The sequence below is a fragment of the Homo sapiens genome, chromosome 22 (assembly GCF_000001405.40).
Source record: "Homo sapiens chromosome 22, GRCh38.p14 Primary Assembly".
Taxonomy (NCBI): Eukaryota; Metazoa; Chordata; class Mammalia; order Primates; family Hominidae; genus Homo; species Homo sapiens.
The window spans coordinates 16578893-16597455 of NC_000022.11; the positions used below are offsets into that span (position 1 = coordinate 16578893).

Consider the following 18563-nt stretch of genomic DNA (forward strand, 5'->3'; position numbering starts at 1 on the left):
GATGATTTAAAATGTGCGTGCATATAAAATGTTCATGTGTACTTACATACTTTATTACAGAGAAGTCTTTGGTATACAAAATAGTTTACCACAACCTTTTAAACAGCAGGTTCTGGGCCTTAAATGCGTATCACATTTAGCCAAGAGAACTCGGGTAGGGGCATGGAAAATGAACTGCAGCTCCCTATCCCTAGCCTCTATACCAGCTGTTCAATGAAAAGTACCAAGGCTCACTGAATGTTATAACCTAGCAGATTGTTACATAAATGATCTAACATTTTTGAGCACCGCTACTGGATGCTAGAAGCTAAGCTAAAGTGTTTCACATGCCCTACTTTGCTTATTCTATAAAATAACTGCGTGAAAGAACAGGTTATCCCCATTTTATAGATGAGAAAAGAAAGGTTTACACAGGTTAGCTTATTTGCCCAAAGTTGTGATTATGGCCTACAAAGTCAAATAAATCCTACTCTGAGACACATGTTCTTTCCACCATTGCACACTAGAAAGGAAAACACCAAGATTATTCATTACTGATCAAGTCAATATTGCTGTATTCAGCTAATTTAGTAATATGTGTCTTGAAATTAATTGCTAAAAGGGATTAAACTGACTTAGAATCAGTTTTTTGTTTGATTACATCTACATACAAAAGTAGCTTCAAATGTCTCATTCTACTGTCCATAATTTAAGATTTTTGAGTATAATACAATTTTAAAGATACTTTGAGGCACTTTGGAAAATCAGACCAAAATCTCTTTTCCACTCACAGATTCGGCTTAATCAATCTGGAAAGCATTTGTTGAGAGCCTTATGACATCATTTAATAACCACGGTTGATTCATTAATTAAAGTACAGACAATTGTTGACTATCCATGTGGGACTTTTCTATTAGGTTGACGCAAAAATAATTGCGGTTTTTCGCCATTAAAGGTTAACAGCGAAAACTGGAATTACTTTTGCACCAGCCTAATACGATGTGGATCATCTGAGATGAATGTTGAAATCCAGTATAGCTTCTTCATATTTCTGGCCCATTTTTCCCACCAGAAAGTGCACAAAGTGAAATGAGCTTATGAAAAGCTTAATTAACTAGAAAAATGTTACTGAAAGAAAAATTACATGGTACATGACAAGGCTAAATACTAGTAACTCTAAACTTAGTGAATTTTCTAGGCAGCAGCTTTCCTCTGCTGTCTAGACTGGTAAAGAACAAACTAAGGCCAGGCGCAGTGGCTCATGCCTGTAATCCCAGCACTTTGGGAGGCTGAGGCGGCCAAATCACCTGAGGTCAGGAGTTCAAGACCAGCCTGATCAACATGGTGAAACCCTGTCTACACTAAAAATATAAAAATTAGCTGGGCGTGGTGGTGCACACCTGTAATCCCAGCTACTTAGGAAGCTGAAGCAGGAGAATTGCTTGAACCCAGGAGGCAGAGGTTGCAGTGAGCCAAGATCACGCCACTGTGCTCCAGCCTGGGCTACAAGAGCAAAACTCCATCTCAAAAAGGAAAAAAAAGAAAAAAACTATAATAAATATGTTAGGTCCATGTTTTCTTAAGTTTTCTACCGGATTTTTATCTTCGTATAGTGAACGAACTGTTAAGAACTTTTTTATGAGAAATATTTTAGTATGACTATATTGCATAGAGTTAGGCTGATGGTTCAGTGTTCAGTAGGTTAGATACCCTCATTGTTTATTTCCATATTGACTGGTTCTAGCTAGAGCTGAAATTAGGCAAAGAATATCTTGAACTCATTTTGCTATACAGGAAAAAAGTGCTTCCTTAGCTCATTTGGAAAGAGATTGAGATTAGAAAAGATGGTTAATTTGTATGTATTTATAGAAATAAATAGAATACAAAATGAGGCTTTTAAATTTTTTCCCACATGAAAATATGATACTTTAATCATTACGTTTTACATTGTTAGTTTGCAGACAGGCATAATTAGGTCCTCAGTTGCAGAAATCACAGACATCTGAAGGCCAGCCCTTTAATTTGGCCACCGTCTTAAGATTTCTCTGCTCCTTCCTTTGCTCCTCCTCCTACTGCACAGTTTGAACTGATGCTGTTCTATATAAGGTACTTTTCCACCTACCTCATCTCTGACTACAGTGCTATATTTTTCACACAGTAAGGACAGGTGTTGTGTTAATCTCACCATGCCAACAATCAGGGCACCACCTAGCAGAGTCAGTGAAGGCCAAAATAAACAGTGGAAGATAGCCATTTGGTCATACTTTTTTATAAGAATGACATCTTCAGATTGGCTGGCTGGACTGTAGAAGCATGAAAAGGGGGTTCCATTTTTGTGATCGAAGAATTCTTTTATGTCCAGAGCACTGTTGAGCAAATCATTTCTATCTTGGTGGCACTTAGGTGTGTAAAAGCACTAGGAATATGGAAGAGGGAAAAAGATAAAGGCACTGTCACCAATACCAAATACTTAACAGTTTCTAATTATGAAATAGCTTCAGGCTGAAGTTATTAGTGGGCAGTTTCAATCTTAGAAGGTGGTAAAATATTACATAGCTCATGGGAAAGGGTTGATTGGAGGGCCACAGTGAAATGGCCATTTCCAGTCATTAAGCAAGGATGTGGAAGAGAATTCTTAGTTTATATGACATTGCAGGAGAGTCAGTGACCAATTTCATAAGGAATATGACTCCTCCCTACATGCAGGTTCTTGGACTCTTGGACAGTATGAATCCGTTTGTCCATTGAACAAAAATGTATTGAGCCTTACTATGAGCTTTCAACACCTAGTAATGCCTCTGTGGTCTCTGTCTTGATCTCCTGTAGCAAAATATTACCCTGAAGAAAAGCACGTTGAGGCTTTTGCTCTAGACTCACAGACAGGGAGCCCCACCTGGACTTTGGTTCCTGGGAGACAGAACCAGTGGAGAAGGGAGCTCTGTCAGCTGGTGACTTTTTTCAAAAAAGCTTGAGGTTTATTACCATATCCATTAGGTACTTGAGGTACTGTGCTAAAGGCCTACAAACTGTTTGAAATCTTAAAAATCATTGCATCCAAAATAGAAAACAAAAGTCATCAGATTGAAATTGATGCTTAAAGACAATAAAGTGTAACATGTCAACTAATCTAACACAACTCAACTTTTATAGTTAGGTATAAATATAAATTTTAAATCATATGAAAGACTATACTTTCAGGGATCATTTCTATAATTCGTTAAATCATATGAACCCATTGTGTAACTTATTAAAATAAAAATAATCTTTACATTTATTTGATAAGAAAAAATTACTCGCTTGATTCAAGGGAGACTGTGGTACACTGTAGCATATGTTATATGGCGCGGAGTGGAATCTCCAAAAGAAAGACTCCCCACAAATGACTACTCATTGGCTCAGCCTATAAATTCCAGACACCAAGTTGTGAAATTGGAATAATTTCTCTCCTTTCTATATACCCCATTTCTCCACCAAGAAGAAAGCTTCATTTATCCTGATTTGATCACTATAAAAATGTTCACTCCAAAAAAATAGATTTATCCCTAAAGACAGCCCTGGGTTATTTATGTACCCTGCTAGGGACAGTCTGGCAGGGAAAGGTTGCTGTCATAAGAACTCTTTAAACTTTACAATACCTTGGGATTTATCTGGACAGCCTCTTCATTATAATGTAGGAGAGCTTTCTGAGCTGAATGGGTGAGGTTCACAAACACCCGAAGACACGAGTACTTCCCGTGACCACGGCAGTGCACACCACAGGTGAAGGCACAGTCCAGCCAGTCGTCCATGATATCTGTGTGGATGGCAGTGCAGGTTGATTCTTCTCTCCGAATGCTTCAATTTGAAAAAAAAAAAAATGTTCTTCACTTACTAGAAAATTTCGTTCTACATTTTGGTGCGGTTATGAGCTTATGTACACAATTAGCTGGGATTACAGGCGCTCAGCTGCCATGTCCAGCTAATTTTTGTATTTTTAGTAGAGACAGGGTGTTGGCCAGGCTCGTCTCCAACTCCTGACCTCAAGTGATCCACCCACCTTGGCCTCCCAAAGTGCTGGGATTACAGGCATGAGCCACTGCACCTGGCCCAAATACTATGTTTTATCAATTCTAAAGTGCACTTTAGTATTTACATTTTAATATAACTAAAATCAATATGTATTTTGCAATCAATGGCATCTTGCTATTATTTGAAAACATTTCTTTAATAGTCTGTAAAATAATGGAACATGCCCAGATGCAGTGGCTTATGCCTGTAATCCCAGCACTTTGAAGGGTCAAGATAGGAGGATCGCTTGAGCCCAGGAGCTGGAGACCAGCCTGGCCAATATAGTGACAGAATAAATAAATAAGTAAATAAAATAATGGAAAATCTCACAAATGGTGATGTTTTAGGTTCGACAAAATACATTAACTAGCCCATTTAGTTTTCTGAAATTATTTTGATGTTATTGCTTACAATATTTGTTCTGTGGTACACAACCATAGGATTAATAATATTGATGAAAATAATAAAAGAATAATAAGCATGTATTGAGCTCTTCCTGTGTGAAGTTCTGGACAAATCCTCATAAAGCCTTAAAAGGCAGATACTAGGCTGGGCACGGTGGCTCATGCCTGTAATCCCAGCACTTTGGGAGGCCGAGGCAGGCAGATCACGCGGTCAGGAGATTGAGACCATCCTGGCTAACATGATGAAACACGGTCTCTACTAAAAATACAAAAAATTAGCCAGGCATGGTGGCACGTGCCTGTAGTCCCAGCTACTCGGGAGGCTGAGGCAGGAAAATCGCTTGAACCTGGGAGGCTGAGGTTGCAGTGAGCCAAGATCGCACCACTGCTCTCCAGCCTGGGCGACAGAGCAAGACTCTGTCTTAAAAAAAAAAAAAAAAAAAAGAAAGAAACAGGCAGATACTAGCCCAGGCACGGTGGCTCATGCCTGTAATCCCACACCTTCGAAGGCCCAGGCGGGTGGATTATCTGAGGTCAGGAGTTTGAGACCAGCCTGACCAACATTGTGAAACCCTGTCTCTACTAAAAATACAAAAATATTAGCCAGGTGTGGTGACAGGTGCCTGTAATTCCAGCTACTCAGGAGGCTAAGGCAGGAGAATCGCTTGAACCCGGGAGGCGGAGGTTGCAGTGAGCTGAGATTGTGCCACTTTACTCCAGCCTAGGTGACAGAGGAAGACTCTGTCTCAAAAAAAACAAACAAACAACAACAACAACATCAAAAAGAAACCTATAGTAATAAAATTGAAATAGAAGGAGGTTTGCAATCAAAATGACTGACTAGGAATGAAATAGGAAACATAATATTTTGCATCTGCATAGGGAAGTCTGAGATTGGCTGATCTTGTTCTCTTCTGTAGGGGAAATACTAGTCCAGAACTTGGGGTGCCTGCCAAGAGGGGAGCAGCCACAGTAGGAAAGGGGGACTCTGGAATGCTAGGGTTCTGGGGTCTGTGGACACAGGAGGCAGAGGACATGTGTTAAGATGTTTTAAGAAATGAATGTTGAACTGGATATGAAAATATTTTTCAGCCGGGCGCAGTGGCTCACGTCTGTAATCCCAGTACTTTGGGAGGCTGAGGCGGGTGGATCATGAGGTCAGGAGATCGAGACCATCCTGGCTAACACGGTGAAACCCCGTCCGTCTCTACTGAAAATACAAAAAGTTAGCCAGGCGTGGTGGCGGAGGCCTGTAATCCCAGTTACTCTGGCGGCTGAAGCAGGAGAATGGCGTGAACCTGGGAGACGGAGCTTGCAGTGAGCCGAGATTGCACCAGTGCACTCTAGCCTGGGCGACAGAGGGAGACTCCATCTAAAAAAAAAAAAAAAAGAAAGAAAATATTTTTCACTATAGAGAGGCATATGTCCCCTGAACTTGCCGGGATCCACCTTTCCTGCTGGTGCATTCTGTGAGTTAGAAGAAAACTTCCAAAGAGCCATTTTTTCCACCCTGTCTACTGTATAAAATTGCTTCTCAAACATGTGCTGCATTGCAGAGGATTACCATTGTTTTGCTAACCAGCGTCTGGTCTTTCTTATGTGGCGCTGCAATTACTAGTGTCAAACCCTGTTGGTAATACCCAGAGGACGGTGTCTGAAGTCTTTACTCAATATTCACATTTGGCCGGGTGTGGTGGCTCACACCTGTAATCCCAGCACTTTCGGAAGCAGAGGCAGGCGGATCACTTGAGGTCAGGAGTTCAAGACCAGCCTGGCCAACATGGTGAAACTCCATCTCTACTAAAAATACAAAAATTAGCCGGGTATGGTGGCGGGTGCCTGTAATCTCAGCTACTAGGGAGGCTGAGACAGGAGAATCACTTGAACCCAGGAGGTGGAGGTTACAGTGAGCCAAGATTGTGCCACTGTACTCCAGCCTGGGGGAAAATTCACATTTGTAGAGAGTTTAAATTCTTTTTTGATACGGAGTCTCGCTCTGTTGCCCGGGCTGGAGTGCAGTGGCAGGGTCTTGACTCACTACAACCTCTGCCTCCCAGGCTCAAGGGATTCTCCTGCTTTAGCCTCCTGAGTAGTTGGGATTACAGGCACCCACCAAAACACCTGGGCAATTTTTGTATTTTTATTAGAGACAGGGTTTCACCATGTTGTCCAGGCTGATCTGAAACTCCTGACCTCAGGTGATCTGCCTGCCCTGGCCTCCCAAAGTGCTGGGATTACAGGCATGAGCCACCACGCCCGGCCGAGAGTTTAAATTCTTAAGTCCTACACTCCAATGTGTGGGAAGTATTCGTGCTATGCTTTTATAACTAAATCATCTCAGTATTTCTATTTCTAGCCCCCTTTTTCTGCCTGATGGTAAGATACTTAATCTAGTCAATTCCAGGTAAACTTTGGCCTTTTATGATTTTTCCTGATCAGGCCAAACCTCAACCAAGTCCCTTCTTGATCTTCTCCTTCACCTCCTTCTCTCATTCACCCGACAATTAGCCTCCAGTCCACGGGCTGATGCAGCATCTTGGTGTCCTGTGGTCTGAGGTCATTTTCTGTCTTTCTCAAGCCTCAGCTAAAGTTTACAATCCTACCTTTTCTCATGACCTTGAAATGCCCTAAGGTTCAGGGGCTTCATGGTTGCTGCTTCATGGGGGAACCTGGCTGTTCTCTGAGGCTGCTCGGCCGCGAACACCCCATCAACTACCCGGGGCCCATCTACGCCCGAGGCCTCAGCCATTCCTGCTCTACAGCTCTGCTGTCCCATTGGCACAGGGAACTTCTTGGGGCCCCAGGGTTCCAGATTGGAAGCAGAGAATCTCCTCTGTTCTCAGACCCCCAAACTTTGTTGTGGATTCTAATTGTCCTTTCCCCCATCTCACTCCTTGGAACCCACTGGGAGGTGAGTAGAATCCCTGTCAGAGATTCTACCACCATCTCCCTCATTCTTACCCTAACTTTCTTCCTCTTCCTCCCTAGTTAGGAAAGAGGATCTTTAGCCTGCGGCGGGGGGGTGGGGGTGGGGATGCTTGATGTTTCAGGGGAAAAGGTGACTCAGCTACTTTTGGAATATCTGTCATACCTGTCTACTGGTGCAATGAGCTGGGATCACACCACTACACTCCAGCCTGGGTGACAGAGCAAGATTCCATCTCAAAAATAAATAAATAAATAAATAAAGACTCTGGAGAAACAACTCAATACACATGAGAAGAGGCTGGCCCATGTAGGGAAAGGACTGGCAAACTATGACAACTCTTTTCTGTTGTTTTGTTTTCAATAGTCTCTTCACAGTTCTTTTCACAGTTTGGAATTGATACCTTTTTCTCTTCATCAGAACTCCAATGTTTTTGTAGATTGAAGTCTTTTTTTTTTTTTTTCTTGAGAAAGGGTCTCACTTTGTCACCCAGGCTGGAGTGCAGTGGACCAATCACTGCTCACTGCAGCCTCGACTTCCTGGGCTCAAGAAATCCTTCCACCTCAGCCCCCCAGTAGCTAGGACTACAGGTGTTCACCACCATGCCCAGTTAATTTTTATTTTTTAATGTATTATTATTATTATTATTATTATTATTATTATTATTATTATTATTTTGAGATGGAGTCTTGCTCTGTTGCCCAGGCTGGAGTGCAGCGGCACCATCTCGGCTCACTGCAACCTCTGCCTCCTGGGTTCAAGAGATTCTCTTGCCTCAGCCTTCCAAGTAAGTGGGACTACAGGTGCATGCCCCCACACCTGGGTAATTTATTTTTTTGTAGAAAAGGGGTATCAGTGTGCTGTCCAGGCTGGTCTCAAACTCCTAACCTCGAGTGATCTGCCTGCCTTGGCCTTCCAAACTACTGGGATTAGAGGTAATGAGTCACCATGACTGGCCTACGTATAGCCCAAATGGATGAGCAGTTCCCAAGGCTCATTCCCAGCCTCCACTATCCAAGTCAGCCTCTCATCTCCTTCATTTCCCAGGACTTAGTTCTCATTTTCCTCCCCTGTTTTCTCCGGATTGTGGCTATTGTTCCCTGGTTGCTAGATCAACCTGGAGCACAGTAAAGCAGTGTCACAAAGCTGGAAGGGGTCTGGGATGAGTCCACCAGCTACAAGTTCTTATAGAAAACGTACTCCGGGGATGGCCGGGCCCAGTGGCTCATGCCTGTAATCCCAGCACTTTGGGAGGCCGAGGCGGGCGGATCCCCTGAGGTTGGGAGTTCGAGACCAGCCTGACCAACATGGAGAAACCCCGTCTCTACTAAAAATACAAAATTAGCTGGGTGTGGTGGCACATGCCTGTAATCCCAGCTACTAGGGAGGCTGAGGCAGGGGAATCGCTTGAACCTGGGAGGCGGAGGTTGCGGTGAGCCAAGATTATGCCATTGCACTCCAGCCTGGGCAACAAGAGTGAAACTCCATCTCAAAAAAAAAAAAAAAAAAGAAAATGTACTCCAGGAATTGTCATTTCTGAAATTCAACAGCTTCTGGAATTGAAGCAAACAGCTCATCTTGGAAGAGAAATATGTAGCCAACTCCAAAGCCAAAGCCTTTGAGTATTGAGACCTAGCATGCTAGGAGACCTTGATCCTGTAACCTCAGAAGAAGAATCTGGATCTGGCCAAATTGAGGTCAAATTCTGCTCAACTTCTCCATAGTCAGTAGGAGAAAAAAACCAACTTGATGTTTGAGTCATATGTTTTGACAACTAAAGAGGACACTTATGCTGGGGTCGGTGGTTCATGCCTGTAATCCCAGCACTTTGGGAGGTCGAGGCGGGTGAATCATTTGAGGTCAGGGGTTCGAGACCAGCCTGGCCAACATGGTGAAACCCCGTCTCTACAAAAAATTCAAAAAAATTGGCTGGGGGCAGTGGCTCATGCCTGTAATCCCAGCACTTTGGGAGGCTGAGATGGGTGGATCACGAGGTCAGGAGTTCAAGACCAGCCTGGCCATTATGGTGAGACCCTGTCTCTACTAAAAATACAAAAATGATCCGGGCATGGTGGCGCACGCCTGTGGTCCCAGCTACTCAGGAGGCTGAGACAGAAGAATCTCTTGAACCTGGGAGGTGGAGGTTGCAGTGAGCCGAGATCACGCCACTGCACTCCAGGCTGGGTGACAGAGTGAGATGTCATCTCAAAAAATAAATAAATAAATAAATAAAATTAGTCTGACTTAGTGGCGGGCCCCTGTAATCCCAGCTACTGGGAGGCTGAGGCAGGAGAATCACTTGAACCCGGGAGGTGGATGCAGTGAGCCAAGATCATGCCACTGCACTCTAGCCTGGGCGAGTGAGACTCCATCTCAAAAAAAAAAAAAAAAAAAAAAGACACTTAAAGATGACATTAAAGAGGATACTTAGATTCTAGACAAAATCAAGATATAGCAAATTGGGGTGGGACACACCTGTAATCTCAGCATTTGGGGAGGCCGAGGCAGGTGGATCACCTGAGGTCCAAAGTTTGAGACCACCCTGACCAACATGGCGAAACCCCGTCTCTACTAAAAATACAAAAATTAGCCAGGCATGGTGGTGGACACCTGTAGTCCCAGCTACTCAGGAGGCTGAGGCAGGAGAATCATTTGAGCCCAGGAGGCAGAGGTTGCAGTGAGCTGAGACTGCACTGCTGCACTGGTGCCTGGGCCACACCAGTCACTATGCCTGGGTGACAGAGCAAGACTCTGTCTCAAAATAAATAAATAAATAAATAAAATTTTGTTTTGCTGTGTTGCGGCTAATATGCGTGCTATAAGACAATGGTTTCTTGAGTCTCATTCTCTCTGCATATGCCTAAAGCTTTTTTATTTTTATGATTCTAAAAGATTGTACCTTCTCATCTCCTAGATTCTGTCCCATAGGTTCTGATTTTTCCTAGAGTAACTTGGAAGTTAAAAAAGTGGAAAAAGCTTTGCGTATTAGGTGCCAAACCCACTCAGCTCTGCTCAAACCCCTTCTTTAATGCCCAAGGTTGTCCAATCCTAGCCCTTCCCCCTACCCTCAGCTTTCTCCTCACCTACACAGCAACCTTAGTATAGTCCTAAAGTATGTGTTCTTATCTTCTGTTATCTATGCCAAGGATGTTTGCTGGTTTTGTTTTGTTTTGTTGAGACAGGGTCTTGCTCTGTCTCTTAGGCTGGAGTGCAGTGGCACAATCACAGCTCACTGCAACCTCGATCTCCTGGGCTTAAGTGATCCCCCCACTCAGCCTCCTGAGTAGCTGGGACTACAGGTATGCATCACCACGCCTGGCTAATTTTTTTTTTTTTTTTTTTTTTTGAGGCAGAGTTTTGCTCTTGTTGCCCAGGCTGGGGTACAATAGTGTCATCTCAGCTCACCACAACCTCTGCCTCCCAGGTTCAAGCAATTCTCCTGCCTCAGCCTCTCAAATAGCTGGGATTACAGGCATGTGCCATCACATCCGGCTACTGTTTTGTATTTTTAGTAGAGATGGGGTTTCTCCACGTTGGCCAGGCTGGTCTTGAACTCCTGACCTCAGCTGATCCACCCACCTTGGGCTCCCAAAGTGCTGGGATTAAAGGCTTGAGCCACCATGCCCGGCCCATGCCTGGCTAATTTTTTTTAATTTTTATTTTTGTAGAGATAGGGTCTCACTATGTTGTCCAGGCTAGTCTTGAACTCCTGGACTCAAGCGATCTTCCTGTCTCAGCCTCCCAAAGTGCAGGAATTATAGGCATGAGCCACTTTGCCAGGCAAGGATTTTTTTCTTTTTAAGTTACATTTCTGCCTGCCACCACAGCAGCTCTTTCTCCTGCTCTCTCTCTCTCTCTGTGCTTTAAGATGATAGTCCCTTCTTTTTTTTCAAATAACCACAACAGGAAGGACTGACCACTCTTGTAAGCTGCAACTGATGTTTTCAGACTCCTAAAGTGACATCTAGACATAAGTCCATATATGTCAGAATATCATGCAGGGAATGCTCAAATAGTTGGGAAGAGATTGCTGCACTGTGTTTTGCACGCCCAAAGCCCACATAGGTACTCAGTTTAAAAATCTTAATAGAATTGAATCCTGCTCTTATCATAGGAAAGGAAGAGCATCTGATAGAAACACAAAATGAAAAGGTCAAGAACTGGCTGGGCACAGTGGCTCTCGCCTGTAATCCCAGCACTTTGGGAGGCTGAGGCGGGAGGATCATGAGGTCAGGAGTTCGAGACCAGCCTGGTCAATATGGTGAAACCCCGTCTCTACTAAAAATACAAAAAATAGCTGGGCGTGGTGGCGCGCACCTGTAGTCCCAGCTATTCAGGAGGCTGAGGCAGGAAAATCGCTTGAACCTGGGAGGCGGAGGTTGCAGTGAGCCAAGATCACGCCACTGCACACCAGCCTGGGCAACAGAGCAAGACTCCGTCTCTCAAAAAAAAAAAACAAAAAAAGTCGAGAACTGGAAAGGAACTAAGCGCATGAAAAGAAATTTTATGTTCCTTCATGTTTTTATTTAAAGAAAGTGAATCAAGTACCAAACACGGAATAAAGGCAAACATTCATTTTTGGGGTGATTGTTCCCTTCTTGGCAATCCCTGTTTTATTGAGGGTATCACTAGTTATTCAATCCAAGGATTTTTTTTGTTTCCACAGGAGGTGGGTGTTTCTTTGTCTTCTTAGAGTCAGGATTCCAGATCTCCTGATGTGTGGGACTTTTCTTGGCCACTACGATTTCATCTACAGTCACGAGCTGTAGCACCACCTCAGCCACTGCTCGAAATCCTTGGGCTTTGACTATTAGGGTGTCCCACACCCCTTCCTGGGCCACATTTATTATCCCTTCAGTTCCCACACCCATTAGGAGGTTCCCACCTTGGTGCACTCCACTCATTTCTGCCATCACGTCTGAGACAGCTAAGCCTGCATTCTCTGCCAAAGTTTTAGGAAGATACTTCAGGGCCCAGGCAAATGCTAGGAATGCAGGCCCACTGGGCCCTTCCAATCTGCTTCCTTTATCAGAAAGCATTTTTGCCAAAGCCATTTCTGTGGCCCCAGCTCCTGGAATCAGTCTGGGATCTTGACATAGCTGGAAATAGGCATCAATGCCGTGGTAGACGGCCTGCTCTGCACTCCGCAGCCCCTGGGTGGTGGCTCCCCTGAGAACCACAGTGAGGGCAGGTGTGCCTGTACATTCCCATTCAAATACCACAGCCAAACCATCTCCCAGCTCCTGCCTGTAAACCCTCTGGCACTTGCCTGGCCTCTGGGGAGGGAGCAGACGAGGCAGCAGAGGTGTGTCCAACACCTCACTCAGGTAAATGATCTCCATCCAAGACCTAGCTTGAATCACCACGATGCCATACTTGTCCGCCAGTGTGAGGGTCTCCTCGTCGACCTCCCCCAACACCACTGCCACATTAATTCCTGCAGCTGCTAGCTGGCCTACTTGCTTTTCTAGTAATTGATCGCTTCCTTTACTAAATTGAGCTAGATCAGCAGGACTAGAAAGACGGGCCGTTGCTGGTGCATTTGGATGGGCAGGACCAAAGGGGCAAGCAAAGAGAGCCACCCTGGCACCACTTAACACTGTGGCCATTTGCCCACAGAGCTTCCCAGATATTGCTAACCCCGGGAGGAGGCAGGAATCCTCCAGTGTCCCCCCGGGCAGCGCGCACACCCCAACACGCTCAGGCTTGAAGCTGCCGTCTAGTTCCTTGATAGCCCAGCAGGCGTGGGCCACCAGCTTGGTCAAGTGGTCCATGGGGGACAGGGTGTGGGTATTCATCACAGAATGGAGGGCCCAGGATGGATCTTCCAAAGGCCCCAGAGATTGGATGGCCAGGGAGGGCAGTGTGGCCAGGACCTCTGCAGTGGCCGTGGCGTAGGCCTCCCGGAGCTGCGGGCGAGGCAGGCCAGCCTTCAGCAGCTGCTCTGCCTGTTCCAGCAAGGCTTCCGTCAGCAGAACCACGAAGGCTGTGCCGTCCCCACTATTCTCTGCCTGGGTTTGTCCTGCTTCCCGGAGGAGCCATGCTGCTGGGTGCTCCAGCTCCAGGGCCCTGAGGATGGCAGTGGCACACCCCGTGCACACTGTTTCTCCTTTCATGGTCACCAGGAACTTCTGCCGGCCGTGGGGGCCATAGCAAGGCCGGATGACACTGGCCAGGGTCTGGACTGCAGCCAAGCTGCTCAGCAGGTGGGGCTCCTCCTCTTCTGGACTCCTCGGGCTCTCCCTTGGGTTCAGTGCCAGCCGCTGGGGCAGCTCCAGGGCTGAAGGGACTGTGCTGTCCATGGCCCGCAGAGAGAGGAGAGGCCACCGTGGGTTGCAGAGATGCTCTAGAAACAGCAGCTGGGGCACTCCTGACACCGATCGTTGAAAGTACTCAAGAGGTCAGTGGAAGCAAGGAGCCAAATGCCCATTGATTGGTATCTGAAGACATCAGCACGGACCAGCACTCCACTGTGGGTCCAAGGATGAGCTCCAAAGAGCCCAGTCCTAAAGCCACCCCAGGGTTGATTCTGTAAAGGAACTGGGTCTTGGGGCCTCTCAACCTTGGTGGCTGAAATGGGATCTTTAACTGATGAAGTCACAAAGTGGAAAATGGAACCAGGATAGAGAATGAGGTCACAGAAGGCTGGTTAGAACTGAGGAGGCCCTACCAGCAGGCAAAAGTCAGGCCTTGTCCAGCAATGGAGGTACATGCACCTCTGCACCAGGTTTGAGACTTGTTTAAACGTAAGAGACAATGAGGAGGAGATCAAGTGAAAAACTACCCATTTCACCCTATCTGGAGTGCAGGGGCATAACCATGGTTCACTGCAGGCCCAGCTCCCTGGTCTCAAGCAGTCCTCCTGCTCAGGTTCCCAAGTACCTGGGACTACAGGCACACACCACCACACCTAGCTAGTTTTTTTATTTTTTGTAGAGACAGTGTTTCTGTCTGTTGTCCAGGCAGGTCTCGAATTCCTAGCCTCAAGAGAGCCTTCCACCTTGGCCTCCCAAAGTGCTAGGACTACAGGTGTGAGCCACCACCTCACCCACCCTTTTTTTTTTTTTTTTTTTGAGACAGAGTCACACTCTGTTGCCCAGGCTGGAGTGCAGTGGTACAATCTTAGCTCACTGCAACCTCCACCTCCCAGGTTCAAGCAGTTCTCCTGCCTCAGCCTCTCAGTAGCTGGGATTACAGGTGCCAGCCACCACGCCCGGCTAATTTTTTATATTTTTAGTAGAGATAGGGGGATTTCACCATGTTGGCCATGGTTGGCCAGGTTAGTCTCAAACTCCTGGCCTCAAGTGATCCGCCCACCTCGGCCTCCAAAAGTGCTGGGATTACAGGTGTGAGCCACTGCACCTGGCCTTTTTTTTTTATTTGAGAAGGAACTGAGAGATGATGTCTGTGTTTTGTTTTGTTTTGGTGTTACTTTCTCTTGCAGTACTGTGTAATATTAGCCATGTTTTGCTGTCTGCCTTTGACTTTTTGGGTATCTTATCAGTTTGTGCTTGTGTATCAGGTTTCTTAGGGTGTCTGTTGGTCTTTCAGGGTGCAGGTGTGGGAGGCTGCACAGCGTGCATGCCTGTGCCACGACTCCCAACTCTGCCTCCCTGGCAGAGGCAGGGCAAGACAAGTGGGGAAGGATGCTGACAGCTCACAGACAAATAGAAGTGAACCCAGAGGGGTGAAAAGCAACCAGCCTCCCAGCGGTCAGGGAGGTAGAAGCCTAAATGGGGTCCTGAGATTTAAATGCGAATCGCCTTCCCATCCTAACCTTCAATGCTTACAATTTAAGTCTCTTTTTTTCATTCTCTCTCCTTTCCTCACTTGTCTCCTCTTTCCTCCTATAGAGCCTACTCGGGTAATGATGCTTCTGCTTTAGTTTAACACATATTTAGTCTGGGCGTGGTGGCTCATGCATGTAATCCCTGCACGTTGGGAGGCTGAGGCGGGAGGATTGCTTAAGCTCAGGAGGTTGAGGCTTCAGTGAGCCATGATTGCACCACTGCATTCCAGCTAGGGCAACAGAGTGAGACTTGTCTCAAAAAAAATAGGGGAAAGGTCATTTGGAATCCTAGTCCAGAGATAACCATTGTTTACAACTTGATGAACATTACTACTTTGCACATATTATATGCATACATAATTATAGATTTACACCATTTTACATAAGATTATGATACATATATGCTATTCTGTGATCATTTCCCCCTCAACATTATCTTGGCTCAGAGAAATGTTTCTTTTTTTGTTTGGACATGGAGTTTCGGAGTTTCGCTCTTGTCGCCCAGGCTGGAGTACAATGGCGCAATCTCGGCTCACCCTCGGCTCACCACAGCCTCTGCCTCCCGGGTTCAAGCAATTCTCTTGCCTCAGCCTCCTGAGTAGCTGGGACTGAGTAGCCATGTGCCACCATGCCCGGCTAATTTTGTGTTTTTAGTAGAGACAGGGTTTCTCCATGTTAGTCAGGCTGGTCTCAAACTCCTGACCTCAGGGGATCCACCCGCCTCGGCCTCCCAAAAGTGCTGGGATTACAGGCGTGTGCCACTGTGCCTGGTCTGTGAGCCACTGTGCCCGGCCTGAGAAATGTTTCTTTTTTTCTTTCTTTTTTTTTTTTTAAGCAGAAACACATTCATTTATTAACCAAAGGGATGATCCTAATGAATCCAACACACTTTGAAATAGCTGCATGTAAAATGTTTGTGATAAAGATAATTGAACACAGTAATGAAAAAAAAAAAAGAAAGAAAGAAACGGTATGGAGATTTGCTCATTGAACTGAGCTTGGTCATTCTCTTAGTTAACTCCTGTCCAAAGTGATGATGGAATCTTTATTGTACTTTTTCATAGATCCGAGTACAGGCGACATGGTTCATGACACAGTCCACCACTAATTTCCCATCTTTCAATGTTCTTGTTATTGTGCTTTCCTTCCCATCCCACTCCTGATGCTGAACCAATGCACCATCTGTAAAGTTGCACACAGTCTGAGTTTTTCTGCCATCAGCTGTGGTTTCTTCAAACTTCTCTCCCAGGGTACAAGAAAACTGTGTTGTTTTCAAAGTGCTCTCAGTTTTTATGGTGAGGTTTTTGCCATCACAAGTGATGATACAATCTGGCTTGGCCATTGCGCCCATTTTTTGCAAAGCTATTTCCTCCTAGCTCCTTCATGTATTCATCAAAGCCTTCGCTGTCCACCAGGCGCCATCTTCCTTCCAGCTGCTGAACTGTGGCCATGGTGGGTGCAGGGGGGCTGGTGTGCAGAGCAGGGTCTGCGTCGGCGTGGCAGCGTGCTGTCGAGAAATGTTTCTAAGGAGATCTTATTTGGTCTGAGAACCATGAATGATTATTTTGAGCACTTTTGATTCTGGAGACTCCATTTGGATCAGGCATGGTCCTCCAAATTCAGGCTTCTGAAAGCCTGTACCTCAGAGTAGGCTTGATGTTCCATAAAAGATGTGGTTATGAGTGCAAAGATGACTTGCCTGTATTGTTATACAAATGTAAAATGTAACAATCAACAAAAATGTAGCAAAGTATGCATGTATACATTTTCTCTAAAGATACAGTTTCTTTTTTGAAAAAATAAACACATTAGGCAGGTGTGATGGCGGGTGCCTGTTATCCCAGCTACTCCGGAGGCTAAGGCACGAGAATCTCTTGAACCTGGGAGGTGGACAAATTGCAGTGAGCCAAGATTGCGCCACTATACTCCAGCCTGGGCAATAGAGCGAGACTCAGTCTCAAAAAATAAATAAATAAATAAATAAATAAATAAATAAATAAAATAAACACTACCGGCCAGTGGCCATGGCTCGAGCCTATAATCCCAGCACTTTGGGAGGCCTGAGCCAGGTGGAGTTCAGGCATTCAAGACCAGCTTGGGCAATATGACAAGACCCCTGTCTCTACTAAAAATACAAAACAATAGCCGGCCGTGGTGGTGTGTGCCTGTAGTCAGCTGCTTGGGAGGCTGAGGTGGGAGGATTGCTTGAGCCCTGAAGGTGGAAGTTGCAGTGAGCTGAGATAGTGCCATTGCACTCCAGCCTGGGTGACAGAGTGAGACCCTGTCTCAAAAAATAAAATAAAATAAACACTCCTATAAAGGATCCTCTTAGCTCTTTTTCTAACACCTAATCTACATTTTCATATTCATTTCAGTTACCCTACAACTGTTCACTGAGCTGCTGTTGAATAGGGGAAATAAGGCAGATAACTACTGCCATCTCCGCTGGAGGGACGATACAGACATTAATCTGGGCACTTTGATTACAGGCAATGAGAGCTGTGAGTGGGGAAAGCACAAGGTTGGCAGAAGCATTTAGGGGGACACAGCCATTCTCACGGAGGGCAGAGGTCTAAAGCAAGAGCTGAATAAAAAGTAGGAACTGGCCTCGTGGAAAGGGGAAGGGTGATGGGACAGCCTGGTGGTTTGTAGCCCACTGGAAGGAGTTCTGAAAACTGGTGGTCAGGTGAGAAGGAAAGCTGGGGAAGAGATGAGCACGTTCGCCAGAGGGTAGCAGGGGCTCTCCGGACCTAGTGAGTCAAGCCAAGGAATTAAGGCTTCAGCCTGCAGGGTGATGAATAGGGCTGTCTATTCCATTTCTTCCTTCTTTCTTTCTTTTCTTTCTTTTTTTGAGACAGCGTCTCACTCTGTCACCCAGGCTGGAGTGCAGTGGCACGATCCTGGCTCACTGCAACCTCTGCCTCCCTGATTCAAGCAATTCTCCTGCTTCAGCCTCCAGAATAGCCGGGATTACGGGTGCCTGCTACCACGCCTGGCTAATTTTGTATTTTTAGTAGAGGCGAGGTTTCACCATGTTGGTCAGGCTGGTCTCGAACTCCTGACCTCAAGTGATCTGCCTACCTCGGCCTCCCAAAGTGCTGGGATTACAGGTGTAAACCACCGTGCCTGGCCTGAAAATTTCTAGTTTATGATACTTGCCAGCAGAATGTGTTCTGTCACCCTCTTCTGAATAGATATGGTTGTCTGCTATGACTTCTCCCACTGCTGCCCTTCCCCCTGAATCCACAGATGCATTTCTTTTAAAACTATGATCTTGTACACAATGGATGTAAATATTTAATCTTTCTATTTGTATGTTTTTCCATGTTTCTTTTCTTTCTTTCTCTTTTTTTTTTTTTTTTTTTTTTTTTTGGAGGTGGTGTCTGCCTCTATTGCCCACAGGCTGGAGTGCACTGGT

The 18563-nt window shown here is 45.6% G+C and overlaps 1 protein-coding gene and 2 pseudogenes across 1 annotated transcript; all 3 read right to left on the reverse strand.

Moving 5' to 3' along the window:
• On the reverse strand, positions 1874–3815 carry KCNMB3P1 (KCNMB3 pseudogene 1; annotated as a pseudogene).
• Positions 11859–13918, reverse strand: CCT8L2 (chaperonin containing TCP1 subunit 8 like 2). The gene has a single exon (NM_014406.5). It carries the CDS (start codon positions 13656–13658, stop codon positions 11985–11987), a length of 1674 nt encoding a protein of 557 aa, NP_055221.1. The 5' UTR covers positions 13659–13918; the 3' UTR covers positions 11859–11984.
• On the reverse strand, positions 15979–16656 carry FABP5P11 (fatty acid binding protein 5 pseudogene 11; annotated as a pseudogene).

What these genes read in the sequence shown, in the direction of transcription:
- CCT8L2 (NM_014406.5), bottom strand. Translation starts at nt 13,658, where the DNA reads ATGGACAGCACAGTCCCTTCAGCCCTGGAGCTGCCCCAGCGGCTGGCA.